This window comes from Homo sapiens, chromosome 9, assembly GCF_000001405.40.
Source record: "Homo sapiens chromosome 9, GRCh38.p14 Primary Assembly".
Lineage (NCBI taxonomy): Eukaryota > Metazoa > Chordata > Mammalia > Primates > Hominidae > Homo > Homo sapiens.
The window spans coordinates 98,457,111-98,476,482 of record NC_000009.12 but is presented as its reverse complement, the minus strand read 5'-3'; the positions used below and the strand labels follow the sequence as shown (position 1 = coordinate 98,476,482).

The window sequence follows — 19,372 nt, the reverse complement described above, 5'->3', positions numbered from 1 at the left end:
AAAAGTGGGGCTCCAGGAGTTGTGTGCATGAGTTACCTGGCAGGCATGTGGCAGAAAATCTGCTGTTTGACTGTATTATTTTTTTCCCCAAAAAGTCAGAAGCTAGGTTAGAAAAAGTTTTGTCTTCATCAAAATTGACTAATGTTCTAAATAAAATGTATTATCATTCAAATGGAATAAGCTTCTGTTTTCTGGAAAACTCACTTACAAGAAACAGCTACAACAGGACAGTAGCTGGTTGAAGAACTGTCAGAGCTGATCTGATTTTCTGCTCTGAACTTCCTGCTCAGTGCTGCCTCTTAATTAATTACCACATGGTCTTAATTATCACATGTGTGAAGAAAATCTGCCTTTGTGTCTGATCAGAAGGCCTTTTCATATCCTCACTCTGAGTTTTTTTGTTTGTTTGTTTGTTTTTTGAGACAGAGTCTCACTCTGTCACTCAGGCTGGAGTACGGGGGTGTGATCTCAGCTCACTGCAACTTCTGCCTCCCAGGTTCAAGCAATTCTCCTGCCTCAGCCTCCTGAGTAGCTGGGATTACAGGCATGTGCCACCATGCCCAGCTAATTTTTGTATTTTTTAGTACAGACAAGGTTTCACCATGTTGGCCAGGCTGGTCTTGAACTCCTGACCTCAAGTGATCCGCCCACCTCGGCCTCCCAAAGTGCTATAGGCATGAGCCAACGCGCCCAGCCACTCTGTATCTACTGATTCTTACTTCCTCATAAGTGGAGCTGTCTCCTTGCCACAACCTTATAAGATTGAGAAAACTTCCAAAAATCCTTTTGTTTTGTTTTACTAAGAGCGGAACTTCAAGAATGGACTTTGAGTCTTGTCCCTTTGACTTACCAGCTATATGTGTTGAGAAAATTTCATCTATAAAATTTAGATAATAGTGCATACCTCATAGGGTAGTTGTGAGAATAAAATAATATATAAAAATAGCAACACACATAATGGGACCTCAATACACATGAGATCTCTGTCAGTAAAAGATGAGAGTTGTGAAGTCTTACAGGCTCTGCCATTGATTAAATGACCTGGGATTACTAGGGTGACCCTTTTATTCAAAAGTCTAGTCCCCAGCCAGGATCTGGCATTTCTTTTCTTTTCTTTTCTTTTCTTTTTTTTTTTTAAAGTTTCTGTGGACTAAATTTCATTCATTAGAGAGAAGCCCCGGAGACTGCCTGCTTTTCTTCAGCTGGGATTTTGTTAGGTAATTAAAATACGAGAGTTTTCTGTATTTTCCATGACAGTTTTGTTTGGGGCAACATTGTAATGTAGTTGCTGCAAAAATGACTGTGATCTGAGGTTGCATTATGAGAAGTACAGTGTCTAAAATGAGGGAAGCGAAGGTCCTGTATCATCGAAGGAGTCTAGTGAAGAGACAGTGTGATCACTGCCTTGAGGTAGTTGAAGGGGTCTTTTGTTAAGCAATGTCTATTTAATCTTCAGATACCTTGCCGAACCAATGGATGGAGACCACAGAGAGGGGATCTGAGCTTAAGTCAAGGAACAAATCTTTTAACTCACATGTACCCCAATGAGCTGCTCCACACTGCAGCCTGGGCTTTCTCAGGTATTAAGGGTGTTTTAGAGGAGTAGCCTCTGGACTTGGGATGAGGAGAGTGCCCCTCTGACTGTTAGAATTGATGGTAACTTTTCTCTAACATATAGGAGTTGTTGGGAGCTCTGGCCTCCCTTCTGTGGACAGACCCTCACTTTAGCCTCCTGGAGCCTAAGTGGAAGGCAGCAAGAACCTTCCCAGGGTCCAGAGCAATCTCAGGCTTCTCTCCCTACACCCTCCTGTCCTCTCACATTAACCCTGCTGTAGGCCAAGGGGTGCGACATGAATGGTTCCCCAACATCTCCTAATGTGGGTGACTCCCCAGGATTGAACGGAAGGATTGTTTAAGGTTTCAGTTTAGAATGCGGGCAGTCCATCAATGCACAGAGGAAATTTCCATCCACCCCTGCTCTCTGTAGTCACTTCTGGGTATTTTGTTTACTTACGGGTACATGACCACCACTTAGAAACTTTATTCTGAACCCAATTTTGATGGAACCTGACAGTCCTACAAACTGGGACTTTTCTGCTTGAATCAAAGCTATCAAAAACCATGATTTTCCTGATATAAAATAATGACAATAAGAATTAGAGTCAAGTAGGGGTGCATTAGAACCTTCTGATGACTTTTCTTTAAATGGAAGGCAAGCAGTGTAGCTTTGTACCCTTAAAGTCAGCAGAACTAGATCCAGGCCTGACTTTTCTCCCTGACTGTTTGACCTTGGAAAAGTTACTTTCCCTCTGATTTTCAGTTTCCTCCTCTCTAGAATGAGGATGATAAACCACCTCCCAGAGTGAATGTGAGTGACAATCAAATAAGATCCATGTAAGATATAAAAATGTAAGGGAATTTTTTTAGGATCTGAATTTATACACTCTGTGTTTTGGATAAAGATTCAGAGCGACTTCTCGGTTTGCCAAGTGGCATCTTATATAAACTACACACTTAGATTAAATTGCCTTGGCCCCTTAAAAATTATTCCCCCTGGGTTGTGTTATGAGGCCTCAGCTTTTAGTAAAGATCTATACAAAAATTAGCTTTATGAAATCTCTTTGTTGTAGAAGTTGTGTTGATACTAAACTGGCTAATTTGACAGTATCCTCTCCATATGGGACATTTTTAGGGTTAGAGACTAGAAAATACTTTGTTTCCCCAAAGATCTGGTATGTTTTCTCCTTATTGATAATGAGAGTTGTGTAAATAACCTTGTTGCCCTTTTCTCTTGGGCTGCTGGGAAGTTCATGGTGAAATTTGCAGCTAATGATGAATATGGTTAGAACCTTTGGTCTGTCTACATTCTGTTCCTTCTATCTTCAGGAAACATAATTTATATTTTTATGGGCCCTTATGTTTTAATTTTTATTCAGTACTTATTATTTTATTATACATGTTATCCATAAACTACCTTGGATCCTTTGATAAATAGCAAGGAAGAAACCAAACAAGTAATTAAACATTTCCTAAATCCTCTGGGAAGAGGAAGCCTTCCTCCCCACCTGTCTTCCAGGGCACAGAGCCTTGAACTGTGCGACTCTCAATGCCCTCATAGTCACTCCATCTTTTACAGGCATACGAGGAGAACATGTATGGTAGTAAATATCAGTGGATCATTCCGGGCTGGTACGAGCCTTCTTGGTGGGAGCAGGTGCACACGGAAGCCAACTCATCCCGCTGCCTCCGGAAGAATCTGCTTGCTGCCATGGAGGGCTACATTGGCGTGGATTTCGAGCCCCTGAGCTCCAAGCAGATCAAGACCATCTCAGGAAAGGTCAGTGCCTTGGTCCCCATTTCAACCTTCTGGCCCACCTCCTTTGATCATCTTGTCTGATGACATTGGCCAAAAGAGCACATTTATTGTCCTGTGTCACTTTGAGCAAATCACTTGACCTCTCTGAGCCTCTTGTACCTGTAAAATGTGGTATGTACAACCCTCCACTGCTTACCTCTCTAGGCAACTGTGAGACCCAAATGAGGTAAGGATATTGTGAAGCACATAACACAGTACACATGTTATGTATACATATATGAATAATAGAGTCCTGGCATCAACTTCAGGGCCCTTTAGACTCTGTAAAAGTTCATCCCGTGCTCCTTTTACCTAAGATGTCATTCTCAGTTGTGTTGATGCTCTCCTGGAGGAGAGGAAAGACGCCTTAAGTAGACTTTGGGAAACACATGCTGTAGAGCTGCCAGACTGCGTCAAACCCCAATTTTACCACTACCACCTGTGTGACCTTGAACCTGAGTTCTCCAAGCCTCTGCTTCTATATCTGTGTGGATATATATTTTTAGGGGCCACTATTCAGCATACTGTTGTGATCTTAGGATGTCCCTTCTATAGATATATCTTCTATATCTCTGCTTCTATATCTGTGATAACCCCCTTCTGGGGGTTATCAGGAGGATTGATGGCAGGTGGTGCAAGCCACTAGCATGGTGTCTGGCACCTTGATGCTGTCACGACTGTGAGCAGGACCTTGGACAGGGTGTGTCAGCCTCAGGGCCTCTGCATGCTTCCATGAGGAGTGTTACTAATTCCTGCCCTGCTTATCTCATAGGGCTATTGCGAGGACCAAGTAATATAGGACATGTAAAAGTATTTCCAAAGCACACCATTCTCTATCATTGTAAGTCTTATCAAAGATCAGGTGATGATAGCCCTGGTAAAGGTGGTAACATCCATTTCTCAATTCTGAACAGCAGCCAAAATTCAGCACAGCAATGCACATAAGTCTTTTCTGAGTTCAGAAGTTAAATTATTCACTCAACCCCCAGGGTTCTTACAGACCAAATTTTATATCAAGAAAAAGCTTTATAATAAGGAAAAATATATGTATATAATTTTATGTATTATTTAATCTCAATTGGAACCAACTCTACATGAATGATTTATCGATTTGTCAAGAAATGGCAAATCATTAGGACATATTTTGTAAACAGCTCTTTAGCTCGTACTGGCACCTGGTTAGAAAATGTTGAAAGAAATATTTTCATACCAAAATCAATGCATATATAACATTTTTTTGAGATGTTGAATAATGAGCAGAAATAACTCATTTATTCAGTAAGTGTTATTTTTAAAGGTGTCAAATTTTGCAATTTATTAAGATCCTTGGGTCCAGGGATACCCTGTATTTTAATCTAAAAATATCATAAAAATTGAGGAAAACACAAAACCTAAGGGAAAAAAATATCCATGAAAGCAGATGGTACAGTAACTAAATGGAGAGGCTTCAGGAAGACCAAAGACTTAAATGGTTGCACAGGAGATCTGTGAGGCTGTCAGGATGAGAGCCATGAGACACTACAGGAAGGACCTCCCTCGGATATAGTTCTAAGGGTGTGGCTTTCAGCCAGGGTGGGAGCCATGCAGGGCTGTGTGCAGGGCTGTGAGCAGTACACGAGAGTGCATTGTAGGAAGATCATTTTTTGTAGTGTATTTGGGAGGAAATGTTTTGGCATTTGTAACAACATCCCCCAGATCACTGACTTCCCTTTTCTAAATTTTCTTATTCGGGATTGGTGAAGAGGCTGACCTCTTGCCCATCACTGTCTCATGCATGGGACACCTTGGGACTGTTCACCTCACAGTTTTGGAAAACCCACTCATAAGCCCACCCCCTGGAGGGGACAGGACCATTGAGGTGGCTTCCAAAAGTCCAGGAGACCCAATCCCTGTCCGCATGGTCTTTGAAGCAAGAGGAAGCATTTCTTACATTACCCCACAGTTACGAGATTGTTAAAGTTACACAAGGAAATTTGAAGCCTCTTCGCTTCTTGGAATCAGAGGGTCCCAGAGCTGCTCTTAGACATTATGGAGTCCAGCTTCCCATCAGATTCTCAGATCTTCCAGTAGCAAAGGAATTCTCTCCTTTAATTCTGCCACCCCTAGGTCCCACTGGAGCTACTCAGATCCTATTGACCCATCTGTCCCACATAGTCCTTCAGTGACCACAGAGTCACTGCTTCTCCAAACTAAACAGCGCTAGTCCTTCCAATTGTTAGCTCACAGGTCCAGGGCTGGGACTAAGCCTGAAATTTAAAAGGGTGCCAGATACATCGGTAATCAAGATTAAACAAAATATGTTAATGCAATTAAAATAATGCCAAAAAAAAAACCCCATGATGAACAAATTGTCAAAATTTTAAATAAAGACCAGATTCACAGGACAGGGATTAGGGTGAGGAAAGTGAGGTGAGTCATGCCAGTGCAAGGTTGGATTCTATCTTTATTTAAATTCCGATGTTTTGTTCATCATGGATTTCTTGCATTCATTTTTATTTTTAAAATATTAAAATATTTTTATCTTGATTACTGATAGGGTTTAGCTCTGCGTCCCCACCCAAATCTTGTCTTGAATTGTACTCCCATAATTCCCATGTGTTGTGGGAGGGACCCGGTGGGAGATAATTGAATCATGGGGACAGTTTCCCCCACACTGTTCTTGTGGTAGAGAATAAGTTTCACGAGATCTGATTGTTTGATAAGGGGAAATTCATTTTGCTTGGCTCTCATCCTTTCTCTTGTCTGCCACCATGTGAGATGTGCCTTTCACCTTCTGCCATGATTGTGAGGCTTCCTCAGCCACCTGGAACTGTGAGTCCAATAAACCTCTTTCTTTTGTACATTGCCCAGTCTCAGGTATGTCTTTATCAGCAGCATGAAAATGGACTAACACAATTACCAAGATTTTTTGACTCTCCCTTAAATTTTGCACCTGAAAGTAGTGCTTTATTCACCTAGTACAGCCCTGCACAGGTTGTATTTATCAAACCCCTCCCCATGCTCAGCCTGTTCCTTTGTTGCACTTGCCTTTGTTGAACATTCTCTCTAGAGGGTGTGGGGCCCAGAGTTGAATAAAGTATTCCTATTTATGGTCTGACCACAAGCCAACTTCTCCGAACAGCCTTCAGAAGTCTATGGTCAAACATAGTTCTAGAGAGTCAGGAAATGTTTCTTGAATTTGAATTTGCGTTCTATATAGCTGCTTGGGGCCACGGTCAGCATGGCACTGGCTGCTGGATTGATGCCTGTATTTTGGGATCCATCGATGTCCATGAAAACAAGCAAACACTTGTAAAACCACAGCAAGTGAATGGGCTCTTGTCATCCTCACTATTGTACAAATGGAAAACCTAAGAGCCAGAGAGGGGAAGGGACATCCCAAGATCACGAAAGTGGGTTGAATAGTGGCCCCTAAAAAGATATATCCACATTGTAACCCTTGGAACTTGGGAGTGTGACCTTGTTTGGAAAAGGGGGGTTTTGCAGGTGTAATTAACTTAAGGCTCTCAGGATAAGATTTCCTGGATTACCCAGGTAGGCCCTAAACCAACGACAGGTGTCCTGTATGAGAGAAAGGCAGAGGGAGAGTTTAGGAGAGAGGCATGGAGTGGAGGGATCTCTCTTAGAGCTTCCAGAAGGAGCCAACCCTCATGATGGGGTTTGGCTCTGTGTCTCCACCCAGGCTCTCATGATGAGATTTCCTGGATTACCTATGTGTCAGGGGAGGGACCTGGTGGGAGATGATTGAATCATGGGGGCCATTTCCCCTTTGCTGTTCTTGTGATAGTGAATGAGTTCTCACGAGATCTGGTTGTTTGAATGTGTGTGACACTTCCCCCTTCACTCTCTCTCTCTTTCCTTCTGCCTTGTGAAGAAGGTTCTTACTTTCCCTTCCACTGTGATTGTAAGTTTCCTGAGGCCTCCTCAGCAATACAGAACTGTGAGTCAATTGAACCTCTTTGCTTTATAAATTACCCTGTCTCAGGTGGTTCTTTATAGCAGTGTGAGAATGGACCAATATAACTGGCAATGCCTGAATTTCAGCCTTCTGGCCTCCAGAACTGTGAGAGAATAAACTGCTGTTGTTTTAAGCCACCCAGTGTGTGGGAACTTGTTGGCAGCCCCACAAATCTAATACAATCATCCAGCAGGTAGAGGCAGATCCAGGACTTGAAGCCAGGACTCCTAATCCCAACTCAGCGCCCCTTCCCCTCTGCCATGCTGCTCCTCTAGACCTGTGACGTGCTTAGGGACACATCCAAATCAGCTCTTTTGTGGCATCTCAGTGGGCCTCTGTTGTTACGTGACACACAGGAGCACAGAGTGTGGTACTCCAGAGATCCGGTGTGGATCCTGCGTTCACACCACTTAATCTGCAACCTCAGCAAGTCACATTCTCTCCCTGGGCTAGGTAACTTCTAGGGTGCTTTCACAGCTCAGTTCTCTAACTTTGTGTAACTATGGTGTGGAGTTATTACAGCAAGCTCTGTGACATGGTTATGATGTTAAGTCATGCAAGTGCAAGGTTGGATTCTGTATTTAAATTTTTGATGTTATGTTCATCATGGGTTTCTTGCATTAGTTTTTATTTTTTAAACATGACACTAAAATATGCTTATCTTAATTACTGAGATATTTTGGCTCCCCTTTAAATTTTGTACCTGAAATTAGTGCTTTATTCACTTCATCCTAGCACAGCCCTGCACAGGTTGTATTTGTCAAACCCCTGTCCTCTTGTACTTGCTCTTGTCAGATCTCCCAGGATACAGCTGACTCCCGATAGACAAAGTCACAGAAAAGGGCAGAACAGTGGCACCTCCTGGATGCATTCTCCAAGGTTCCCTCCTTTGTATGCCTGTCTCTAGCATCCAGCTGTCCCCAGCTCACTCATTAGCACCAGGAGTTTTCTGGTAGGAGGAATAGCAAGGTCACGGGCTCCCTCCAGAAGCACGTTCTTCAGTCCTTTCCCATTGGACTGTCCTGCGTTGGGACTTGGACCTTCAGGCTTTCTGAGCCCATTCAGAGCTCAATTTTCTGGGACCTCATGAAGACAGCCCCTGGACTCCTGCTTTGGGCCCAACATTGGCTCCTTCTCTCCACTGAGGCTCCCCATCACTGTTCTACTCCCGCAAAGTGACTTGACATCGGTGATTTCAAGTGTCAGCTTCCATTTTTCAAGTCCTGTTCGTTTTGTTTCCTTTGTGAGCATTTATAATTCTGGCTTGATTTCTCCAGCGATGGCTCAGCCTCTCCAATAGGGACATTCTTCTCCTGTTATTGTGCCCCTGCTGAGGCTCAGTGCTGGGCCAAGGCCCCAGATGAGCTGTTCATAGCACCCTGAGACCTCTGGAGTAGCCCTAGCCCTCCATCAAAGGCACAGGTCCATCCTTTGGAAGACTTTGTAATGTTTTCTGGCAAGAAACTTCTGTGACCACCCATGATTATTTATTCAACCCAGCAAATCTAGTGATCCTTCCACTTAGAGCCAATGGCCCATGAAAATCTGCACCCATCTCATTACCACTGCGCTGTGAGCACCGTGACAAAGAACTTGGAGTTTTAGGGAAGCACTGAGCTTAGCACGGAGGAAGGAAAGGTGCTGCGGAAAAATAGAACTCCCCAGAGAGCCCAGCTTCACAGCGCTGCTCTCTCCCCTACCCCCCACAAAGCTCCCATTCCTTGCTACTCCCATTCCTTGCTACTCCCCTAGGCACTCATGACACTGGGAGAAGGCACTATGTCAGAGGGGCATGGGCTCAGAAGGAAAAGGCTGACTGGCCCATGGAGGGGCCACTGGCTAGACTTGAATCATGGCCCCAACACTTCCCAACTGGGTGACTCTGGCAGGTGGCTGGTCATCTATACCAACATCCATACCTCTCCTCCCCTCTTCTAAGCTCTGTAACACAACAAACCAGAGTTCATAACGCAACTCTGGTTTTTAACCGGGTATGTTGCCACCTCACTGGAAAATGTATTATACACTTCCCAGCCTTCCATGCTAGATATGGCCGGGATTGCAAGTCTGGCCAATGAGATATAAGTAGAAGTGTTATGTGGGACTTCTAGAAAGGCTCTATTAAAGGGGGATATGGCCTTTCTTTTTCATTCTCTTTTGTGTTGACTGGAATGTGGATGTGATGGCTGGATTTCTAGTAGCCATTTTGGACCATTAGGTACAAGGTGACCTTGACAAGGAAGCATCATTCTAGGATTGTGGAGCATAAAGATAGGACCCTGGATCCCTTATTACCCTGGGGAGCTGTCATAGCTGTATTACTCAGCCTCCCCACAGACATCTTTTATATGAGAAAGAAATAACCTATCTCATTTAAGTCACTGATAATTTGTTTTTTCTGTTACAATGCAGCTGAACCTAAGAGTAATACAGTGATGTTGTGCAAGTCATTTAACCTTTCCCAGTTTGTCTCTCATCTGTAAAATGGGGATAATAATATCTCTCTCACAGATTTGTAAGGATTAGATGAGGTTATACAGTAGAAAGTATCTTACCAAGTGCAAACACATAGTAGGTGCTCAACAAATATTAATTCTCTTCCTTTTCAGGATAGGAACCTTAGGGGTAGGAGGAAGGAGTAGTGAGATCGATGAAGAGTTTATAACCCAGGTCATGTGAGATGAGGAGCAATGGAAGGATTGGGATTACCTTTTATGGTTTCATTAATTATTTTTATTGAAGGAGAGCACCCATGTAACTACCACCCAGGTCAAGAAAAAAACTATTTGTAGCAATTCAGAAACTGCCTTTATGTGTTACAGTTAATACCCACTGCCAGATGTAACCATTCTTCTGACTTCCTTTGCCATTCAGATGCCTGCTTTTGAACTTTTGAACTCCACAGCTTTTTTTAGTATCTTCAGATTTAGGGAGTGTATTAGTCCTTTCTCACACTGTTATAAAGAGACACCTGAAACTGGGTAATTTATAAAGAAAAGAGGTTTAATTGGCTCACAGTTCCACAGGCTGTACAGGAAGCATGGCTGGGGAGGCCTCAGGAAACTTAGAATCATGGCAGAAGGCAAAGCGGAAGCAGGCATGTCTGGAGCAGAAGGAAGCAGGAGGAAGAGAGCAAAGGGGGAGGTGCTACACCCTTTTAAACAACCCGATCTTGTGAGAACGCACTCACTAGCATGAGAACAGCAAGGGGAAAACCTGCCCCATGATCCAGTCACCTCCCAGCAGGCCGCTCCTCCTCCAACACTGGGGATTGCAATTTGACATGGGATTTGGGCAGGAACACAAATGCAAACCATACCAGGGAAGATTCGTCTTTCTGGTAGTTATTCTAGTTCACTCTTAAATAAACACCATCTTCTGTCTTTGCCACAGTTTTCTCATTCTGCCTTTACCACAAAACCTTGCATCAGGGCATGGGTGAGGCAAACGCAGAAGTGAAATGTGTTAATTTTTCTCTTCTTATTCAGTCATCTGTAAAGTTTTGATGTTCTCTGTCTTCCATTATAGATGTGGTATCATTTTGTATAGAATGTTTGTAGCTACAAAGCTAGCTAGTATAGTTTGCGGAGACTTGGGAAAGTTAATTTATACACAGCCTCCTTCATCTTCAGCTACCTGGAAGTCCTTTAACTGGTGTGTTTTAATGAACAGAAATTCTTTAATAGAACCCACTCAAAGGCTATGAAGATATTTTCCTATCTTGTGTTTTAGAAACTCTATTGTTTTACCTTTCACATTTAGATCTATAATTAACCTGAAATACATTTTGTATAGGATGTGAGGTAATGATCAAGATTCCTTTTCTTCTTTTCTTTTTTTACATGGATATCTAATTGACCCAACATCATTTATTGAAAAGTCCATCTTTTCCCACACTGTGCCGCCATATTACTTTTGTCATAAAGCAAATGACTTTATATATTTGGTTCTGTTTCTAAACTTTTTTTTTCACATCACGTATTGATTGTTTATTTAATAAGCATTTTATGCTTTAATTTTTCTTTTTTTTTTTTTTTTTTTTTTTTTTAGTATTTATTGATCATTCTTGGGTGTTTCTCAGAGAGGGGGATGTGGCAGAGTCATAGGGTAATAGTGGAGAGAAGGTCAGCAGATAAACACAAGAACAAAGGTCTCTGGTTTTCCTAGGCAGAGGTCCCTGCGGCCTTCGGCCCTGTTTGTGTCCCCGGGTACTTGAGATTAGGGAGTGGTGATGACTCTTAACGAGCATGCTGCCTTCAAGCATCTGTTTAACAAAGCACATCTTGCACCGCCCTTAATCCATTTAACCCTGAGTTGACACAGCACATGTTTCAGAGAGCACGGGGTTGGGGGTAAGGTTATAGATTAACAGCATCCCAAGGCAGAAGAGTTTTTCTTAGTACAGAACAAAATGGAGTCTCCTATGTCTACTTCTTTCTACACAGACACAGTAACAATCTGATCTCTCTTTCTTTTCCCCACATTTCCCCCTTTTCTTTTCGACAAAACTGCCATCGTCATCATGGCCCATTCTCGATGGTCGCTGTCTCTTCGGAGCTGTTGGGTACACTTCCCAGACGGGGCGGCTTGGCAGAGGCACTCCTCACTTCCCAGACAGGGCGGCCGGGCAGAGGCGCCCCCCACCTCCCAGACGGGGCGGCTGGGCAGAGGCACTCCTCACTTCCCAGATGGGGGCGGCCAGGCAGAGGCGCTCCTCAGTTCCCATTTGGGGCAGCCGGCCAGAGGCGCTCCTCACTTCCTCCCAGACAGGGCAGCAGGGCAGAGGCGCTCCTCACTTCCCAGAGGGGGCGGCCAGGCAGAGGCGCTCCTCACTTCCCATTCGGGGCAGCTGGGCTGAGGTACTCCTCACTTCCTCCCAGACGGGGCGGCCGGGAAGAGGCGCTCCTCACTTCCCAGACGGGGCGGCCAGGCAGAGGCGCTCCTCACATCCCAGATGATGGGTGGCCAGGTAGAGATGCTCCTCAATTCCTAGACGGGATGGCGGCCGGGCAGAGGCGCTCCTCACCTCCCAGACGGGGCGGCCGGGCAGAGGGGCTCCTCACATCCCAGACGATGGGCTGCCAGGCAGAGACGCTGCTCACTTCCTAGACGGGGTGGCGGGCGGGCAGAGGCTGTAATCTTAGCACTTTGGGAGGCCAAGGCAGGTGGCTGGGAGGTGGAGGTTGTAGCGAGCCAAGATCACGCCACTGCACTCCAGCTTGGGCAACATTGAGCGTTGAGTGAGCGAGACTCCATCTGCAATCCCAGCACCTTGGGAGGCCGAGGCGGGCAGATCACCCGAGGCCAGGAGCTGGACACCAGCCCGGTCAACACAGCGAAACCCCGTCTCCACCAAAAATACAAAAACCAGTCAGGAGTGGCGGCGAGTGCCTGGAATCCCAGGCACTAGGCAGGCCGAGGCAGGAGAATCACCGGAGCCCGAGGCAGGGAGGTTGCAGCGAGCCGAGATCACGGCAGTACTGCCCAGGCTCTGCAAGAGAGGGAGACTGTAGAAAGAGGGAGACGGAGAGCGAGAGCGAGACGGAGAGCGAGAGCGAGAGCGAGACGGAGAGCGAGAGGGCGAGGGAGAGGGAGAGCTCTGTTTCTAAACTTTATCTTTTTCTTTTCCATTGTTTTTCACCAAAACATCTTAATTTTTGTAGCTTTATAATAAGTCTTGATAACTACTCATATAGGTTCTCCATCTTAGTTCGTCAAAACTGTCTTGGCTATTCTTGTCTCTTTGCATTTCTATATACATTTTTAAAACAGATTGCCAGTTTATACACACATACATACATACTTTCTCTGGTTTTTATTGGGATTTTACTGAATCTGTAGATCAATTTAGGGAAAACTGACATCTTAATATTAAAGTCTTCCAATCCATGAATTGTGTATATCCCTGCATTTAGTTAGGTCTTCTTTAATTTCTCTCAGAAATGTTTTATAGTTTTCTGTGTAGAATTATTGCACATATTGGCTGGGCGCAGTGACTCACACTTGTAATCCCAGCACTTGGGGAGGCTGACGCAGGTGAATCACTTGAGGTCAGGAGTTCAAGACCAGCCTGGCCAACATAGTGAAACCCCATCTCTATTAAAAATACAAAAATTAGCCGGGCATGATGGCACATGCCTGTAGTCTCAGCTACTTGGGAGGCTGAGGCAGGAGGATCGCTTGAACCCAGGAGGCGGAGGTTATAGTGAGCCAAGATTACATCACTGCATTCCAGCCTGAGCAACAAAGTGAGACTCCATCTCAATTAAAAAGAAGAAAAAAGGATTATTGTACTTATTTTGTTTGATTTAATTCTGGGCATTTGATATATTTTGGTGAACATATGTGCACATTACTATTGGGTGCATACTTGGGGTGGAATTCTGAGTCAGAGTAGCCATATGTTCAGCTTTAGTAGACTCTGTGACAAACAGCTTTCTAAAGTGGTTATACCAATTTACACATCCGCAAGCAGTGATTGAGAGTTCCAGTTGGTTCACATGCTCAACAACTTTTGGTGTGTCAGCTTTTTAATTTTAGCCAAACTAGTGGGTGTGTAGTGGTTGGTGTCTTGTTTTAGTTTAAATTTGCATTTCCCTGATGACTAATGAAGTTGGACATGTTTTCATATCTTCATTGGCCATTTTGATACCCTTTTTTGTGAATTGCCCATTCAAGTCTTTTGCCCATTTTTCCTGTTGGATACTCTGCCTGTTTCTTACTGATTTGTAGAATTCCTTTTTAGATTCTGGATATGAATTATTTGACAGTTATATGTATTATTTATATCTTCTCCTATTCTGTGGCTTATCTTTTCACTCTCGATGTATTTTGATGAATAGATATTCCTAATCTTAATGTAATCCAATGTATTAGTCTTCTTTGTGATTAGTATATTTATGCCTTGTTTAAGCATTTTCAGGATGGGGAGAAAAAAGTCAGAAAATAAGAAATGAACATATGAGACACATGGGATATGTTGAAAAAGTATAATATATGTATAACTGTGTCCTGGAAAGGGAGGAAAGAGAGACTAGGCAGAAGCAGTATTTGGTTTTGTTATTTTAGTTTTTTCTGAAAATCACCCTGTCTTGATGATTTGGTTTGGATGTTCGTCCCCTCCAAATCTCATGTCAAAATGTAATTCCCAATGTTGGAGGTAGGGCCTGGTGAGAAGTGATGGGATCATGGGAGTGGATCCCCCCTGAATGGTTTAGCACCATCCCTTTGGTAGCAAGTGAGTTCTCACGCTGAGTTCATGTGAGATCTGGCTGTTTAAGGTGTGTGACACCTTCCCCCTTGCTCTCTTGCTCCATTCTTGCCATGTGCCACACCTACTGTCCTTTGGCTTCTGCCATGATTGAAAGCTTCCTGAGGCCCTTACCAGAAGCAGATGCCAGCACCACGATTCTTGATTCTGCACCTGGAGAATCATGAGCCAATTAAGCCTCCTTTCTTTATAAATTATCTAGTCTCAGGTATTTCTTTATAGCAATGCAAGAACGGCCTAATACACCCACCCATGCTCGTGAAGATATTTTCCTATCTTGTCATTTAGAAGTTTTGTTATATCTTTCACATTTAGACATAGAATTTACTTGAAATTAATTTTATGTATGGTCTGAAATAATATATTTAATTTTATGAATAATCAATTGATTCAGGACTATTTATTGAAAAGGCCATAATCCCCCATCCCACCACTCAGGCTACAGTGTCACCTTTGTCATAAATTAAACAACTGCATATAGTGTGGATATATACACAAGCTTCTGAACTTCCATTTATCTTCCTTTGGTCTACTTATCTATCTTTTAATCAATATCACCCTGTTTTAATTACTGAAGTATGATTTGATACTTTGTAGTATAAATCCTTAATCTTTGTTCTTCTTTAAGATTTTCTTGGCACTGATGTCATTTTTCATTTAGATCTACTAACACATTTACACTTCCTATTACTTTTTTCCTTCCCACATTTCTATTTTTCTGCTTATTGTTACTATTATTTTTCTGCCAGAAGAACTTCTCCTTGGTCTTTCTTTTACTGTGACTCTTCTGGAAGCAAATCTTCCAAGTGTCTGGCTGTCTGAAATTTATTTTACCTTTAATATTGAGAGATGTATTGACTAGATAGAGGATTTTAGATGGCCTATAATTTTCTTTTGGCACTGAAGATGTCATTCCATTGTCTTCTGGCTTCCATTGTTTCTATTGAGTCTGCTGTCTGACTTATTGCTCTTTTGAAGTAATGCATCTTTTTTTCCTCTAGTTATTTTAAGATTTTGTTTTTGATTTGGTCTTTGGCAGTTTTACTACACTGTGCTGAAGTGAACTTTCCTTTGTGTTCATCTTGCCTGGAGTTCATAGAGCTCCATAGGATTTCATGAATCTGTGTATTGATGTGTGTTGGAGAAATAGAATAGTATCCTTTGAAATATTGCTTCTGTCTAGTCTCTCTTTTCTCACCTTCTAGGACACAATTATACATATATTATACTTTTTCAACATATTCCATGTATCTCTTATGTTCATTTCTTATTTTCCAAACTTTTTTTCTCCCTATGTTTCAGTCTGAATACAAACCTGTATTTGGTTCACTAATCTACTTTCTGCTGTGTCTAATATGTTGTTTCACCTATCTATTGAATTCTTTATTTCAATTGTTGTATTTTTTATTTTTAGAATTTTTATATTTTTTCTTTTATAGTATTCAGTTCTCTGATGACATTCTGCATCTTTTAATCAATTTTCTTGAACATACAAACCTTGCTATTTTATTTTATTTTATTTTAGAGATAGAGTCTTGCTCTGTCACCGAGGCCAGAGTGCAGCGGTGTGATCTTGGCTCACTGCACCTCCCAGGTTCAAGCAATTCTCTTGCCTCAGCCTTCCAAGTAGCTGGAATTACAGGTGCCCGCCACCATGCCTGGCTAATTTTTTTCCCATGTTGGCCAGGCTGGTCTTGAACTCCTGACCTCAGGTGATCTGCCCACCTCAGCCTTCCCAAGTGCTGGGAATACAGGCGTGAGCCACCATTCCCGCCAACCTTGCTATTTTAAAGTTCATGTCTAATAATGTCAAGATTTGGATCACCTATGAATTTGTTTCCATTCCATATACTTTTCTCTTCTTTTTCTTCCTTGCTTTTCTTTTAAAACAATTATCTGGACCTATTTCCTGGTGTACCTAGTACATTTTAATTAAATGTGTTGTGTATGAAAAATTGTAGAGGCTACAGATAGTGTTTTCTTTCTCCAGGGAAAATGTATTACTCTTCAAGCAAGTAGTTAGAGTAGTGGCAAATTGCCTTAATCCAGTGAAGAACTGAGATGATTCCAGGTTCGGTTTCAGTTTTTGTAAGGCCCAATCTATTTTGGTTTGCCCTGATTCCTAGTGTTTGACCCTTCAATGTTCTCAACTGAAATCCTGGGATATTTACTGACCCTGGACTCCAATTTTTATTTTCCCAATACTATTAAACTCTAAATAGTTCTGTTTGTTTTCTTGGCTCTTTTGCTTGGCTTCTCAGCCTCTTGCTTTATGCAGCTTAATTATCAAATATTTTAAGTAAAAATGCCAGTCTTAATACCAGGCTCACTTTTTTATGGTTCCCTTTACTCTGGCACCTTGGCCATGCAAGTCTTGCTACCTTGGTAGTCCAGAACTACAGTTTTTGGCTTCCTATCCCTGAGGGACTGCTGAAAACTCTGATCCAATGCTTTCTGTTTCTGTGACTAGCCTTCTTACTTACAAATCAGAAAATGCCTCAAAAGGAAAACAGCAAAGAATTTGGGGCCCATCTCAAAGCATTTATCTTCTCTCCAGAATGATGGATTCTCAGTCCTAGCTGTCCTGCTTGTTTTCTGATGTCTTTGAATAGCTATTTTAATATTTTATTCTGCTTTTCTAAATGTTCTTGATGGGAGCTTTGGTCTGATATAAGCGATTTCATCATAGAGTGGAAGTCTGAACTGAGATTATTTTGCTTAAAAGAAGGAGAATGCATTAGAAAAGGGGAGGCATCTCCCTGTCTTTGGCTCTTTGAGGGGCTGTTGTGTATAAAGGGAGCAGATGTGTGTATTGTGGCTCCGCAGGAACACGTAGCATGCGAATACAAGTTTCAGGGAGAGAGGTGCAAACTCTGCATCTGGAAGAACAGTCTCCTCAACATCAGCCATTCCCTAAGTGGAAAGTTCTGCCTGAGAGGCATAGTGAGCTTCCCAATACTGGAGGAGTATAAGAAGAAACTCAGCAAACACCTGGAAGTTGCTACTGAAAAGATCCAATAATTATCCAATAATCAGATCGCAGGAGGGACTTCATCAGTGGTTACCAATTTTTGTATGCTTGAAATCTGAGAAGGTTTTTAAAAATACAGATTCCTAAGTTAACTCACTCACTGATATACTGAACCAAAATGTATCCCTGGCATCTGTTCTTTTGGTTGTTTGTATTTTGTTTTTGAGATGGAGTCTCACTCTGTCACCCAGGCTGGAGTGCAATGATGCAATCTCGGCTCACTGCAACCTCTGCCTCCTGGGTTCAAATGATTCTTGTGTCTCAGCCTCCTGAGTAGCTGGGATTACAGACACCTGCCACCACGCGCAGCTAACTTTTTGTATTTTTAGTAGAGATGGGGTTTTGCCAGGTTGGCCAGGCTGGTCTTGAACTCCTGACTTCAGGTGATCCACCTGCCTCGGCCTCCCAAAGTGCTGAGATTATAGGCGTGGGACACCGTGCCCAGCCGTGGCATCTGCATTTTTAACAAGCTTCCCAAGTGATTTACAAACGGCAGCACGGGAACCAGCAAACTAAATATTCTCTCGTGTACTTCCAAATGAGACTCTGTGATTCAAACCTCCCACAGGGATGCCAGCGAGAAAGTCTGCCAGTTTCACCTCTGTGGGGATCAGTTGCAGATGTGGAAGAGGATGTATCCTTCTCCTGCCCTCTCTTCTGTCCATGAGGCTCCCCTCTCCCAGGAAGAAGGACTCAGCTCATTTCTGTTGGGATGACAGACTCATAAGGTTTAGTCACATTGTAGGTTAGCAAGCTTGTGTGGGCTAGCCTTGGGACCTAACCACTATTTATAACATAGTGTCTGTGGGAAAATATGTTCCAAGTTCCAACAAATGCCTTTAAAAAATATTCTGGAGGCCAACCTATCAGTAATTGGGACTATCTGCATAAGTTATTTTCTCAGAAACTTTTAGCATCTCACGATAAACTTGACCTCGGAGGATGGTAATTAATCAGCATTCGGTGTCAGCTTTACGATGGAAGAAATTCTTCTGCCTTGAATAATTGGAGGCCTGCTTTAAGAACTTTTTCTCCAACAATTGTGAGTGCGTTTCTTCCTGCTGTCATTGTCTTGCCCAAGGGAGTTGGTGCTGGCATCGCCTGGGAACAATGATGAATGGCCTGGGATATCATGTGGCAGCAACGACTTCTTTAACCTGGTGCTTCCAAAGACAGCAAGAACTGAGGTCACCTTTCAGGGCTTAGCTACACCTGTGTCTGATTCCAAGGACTCTACCCACAGAAATCTGGTAAAGAGCCGTGTTTCCAGTGTTCTTGGCCCTCCTCCTGATCCTTGTACCCGGGAAGGACAGTTTTTTGAGATAGATGAGTTTACAAGTGGCATATGTAAAGTTTATATAGGGACTTTTGTTGACCTCAAGGCCAAATCCAATAGACAATATGATCTTGATCCCCTTAGTGTCCCACAAAACAAAACAAAACTATATCAAGGAAGTTTAAAATTACACTCAGTTACCACCCAGTGAGACCACACTGGGAATGTTCACCTCAAGTCTGGACCTCCCACTTTTAAAGGATCATAGAAACCTTGAAGGCTGCTCCAGTGTCGTGTTCTGGTCAGGGAGGTGTTGTAGAAATGTCATCTGAATGTAGTCATTAGGTCGAACAAGGGAATTCAAAAATGGACACCACCAACCCTCGAATGCCATTGCGTGCATTGGAGAAAGCTCATAGGAGCAAAATCCAAAAGAGAAGTCAAAGGGGCCTCATTTCTGTGATGCTTAACGCAATTAATTA

At 42.9% G+C, this 19,372-nt stretch overlaps 1 protein-coding gene across 4 annotated transcripts in view, besides 1 other annotated feature; it reads left to right on the top strand.

Moving 5' to 3' along the window:
* Positions 1-19,372, top strand: part of GABBR2 (gamma-aminobutyric acid type B receptor subunit 2) — a 420,827-nt gene that overhangs the window by 232,453 nt on the left and 169,002 nt on the right. For all 4 annotated transcript variants that reach the window (NM_005458.8, XM_017015331.3, XM_005252316.6 and 1 more), the window contains one exon: positions 3,137-3,337. In NM_005458.8, coding sequence (NP_005449.5) covers positions 3,137-3,337 — 201 coding nt within the window. The remainder of the gene's footprint in view (positions 1-3,136; positions 3,338-19,372) is intronic.
* Positions 15,510-15,710: a silencer, noted in NCBI's record as "peak7304 fragment used in MPRA reporter construct". NCBI's record gives its function as "represses an SCP1 promoter by STARR-seq MPRAs in K562 erythroleukemia cells {active_cell/tissue: K562}" and the evidence as "EXISTENCE:reporter gene assay evidence [ECO:0000049][PMID:32103011]".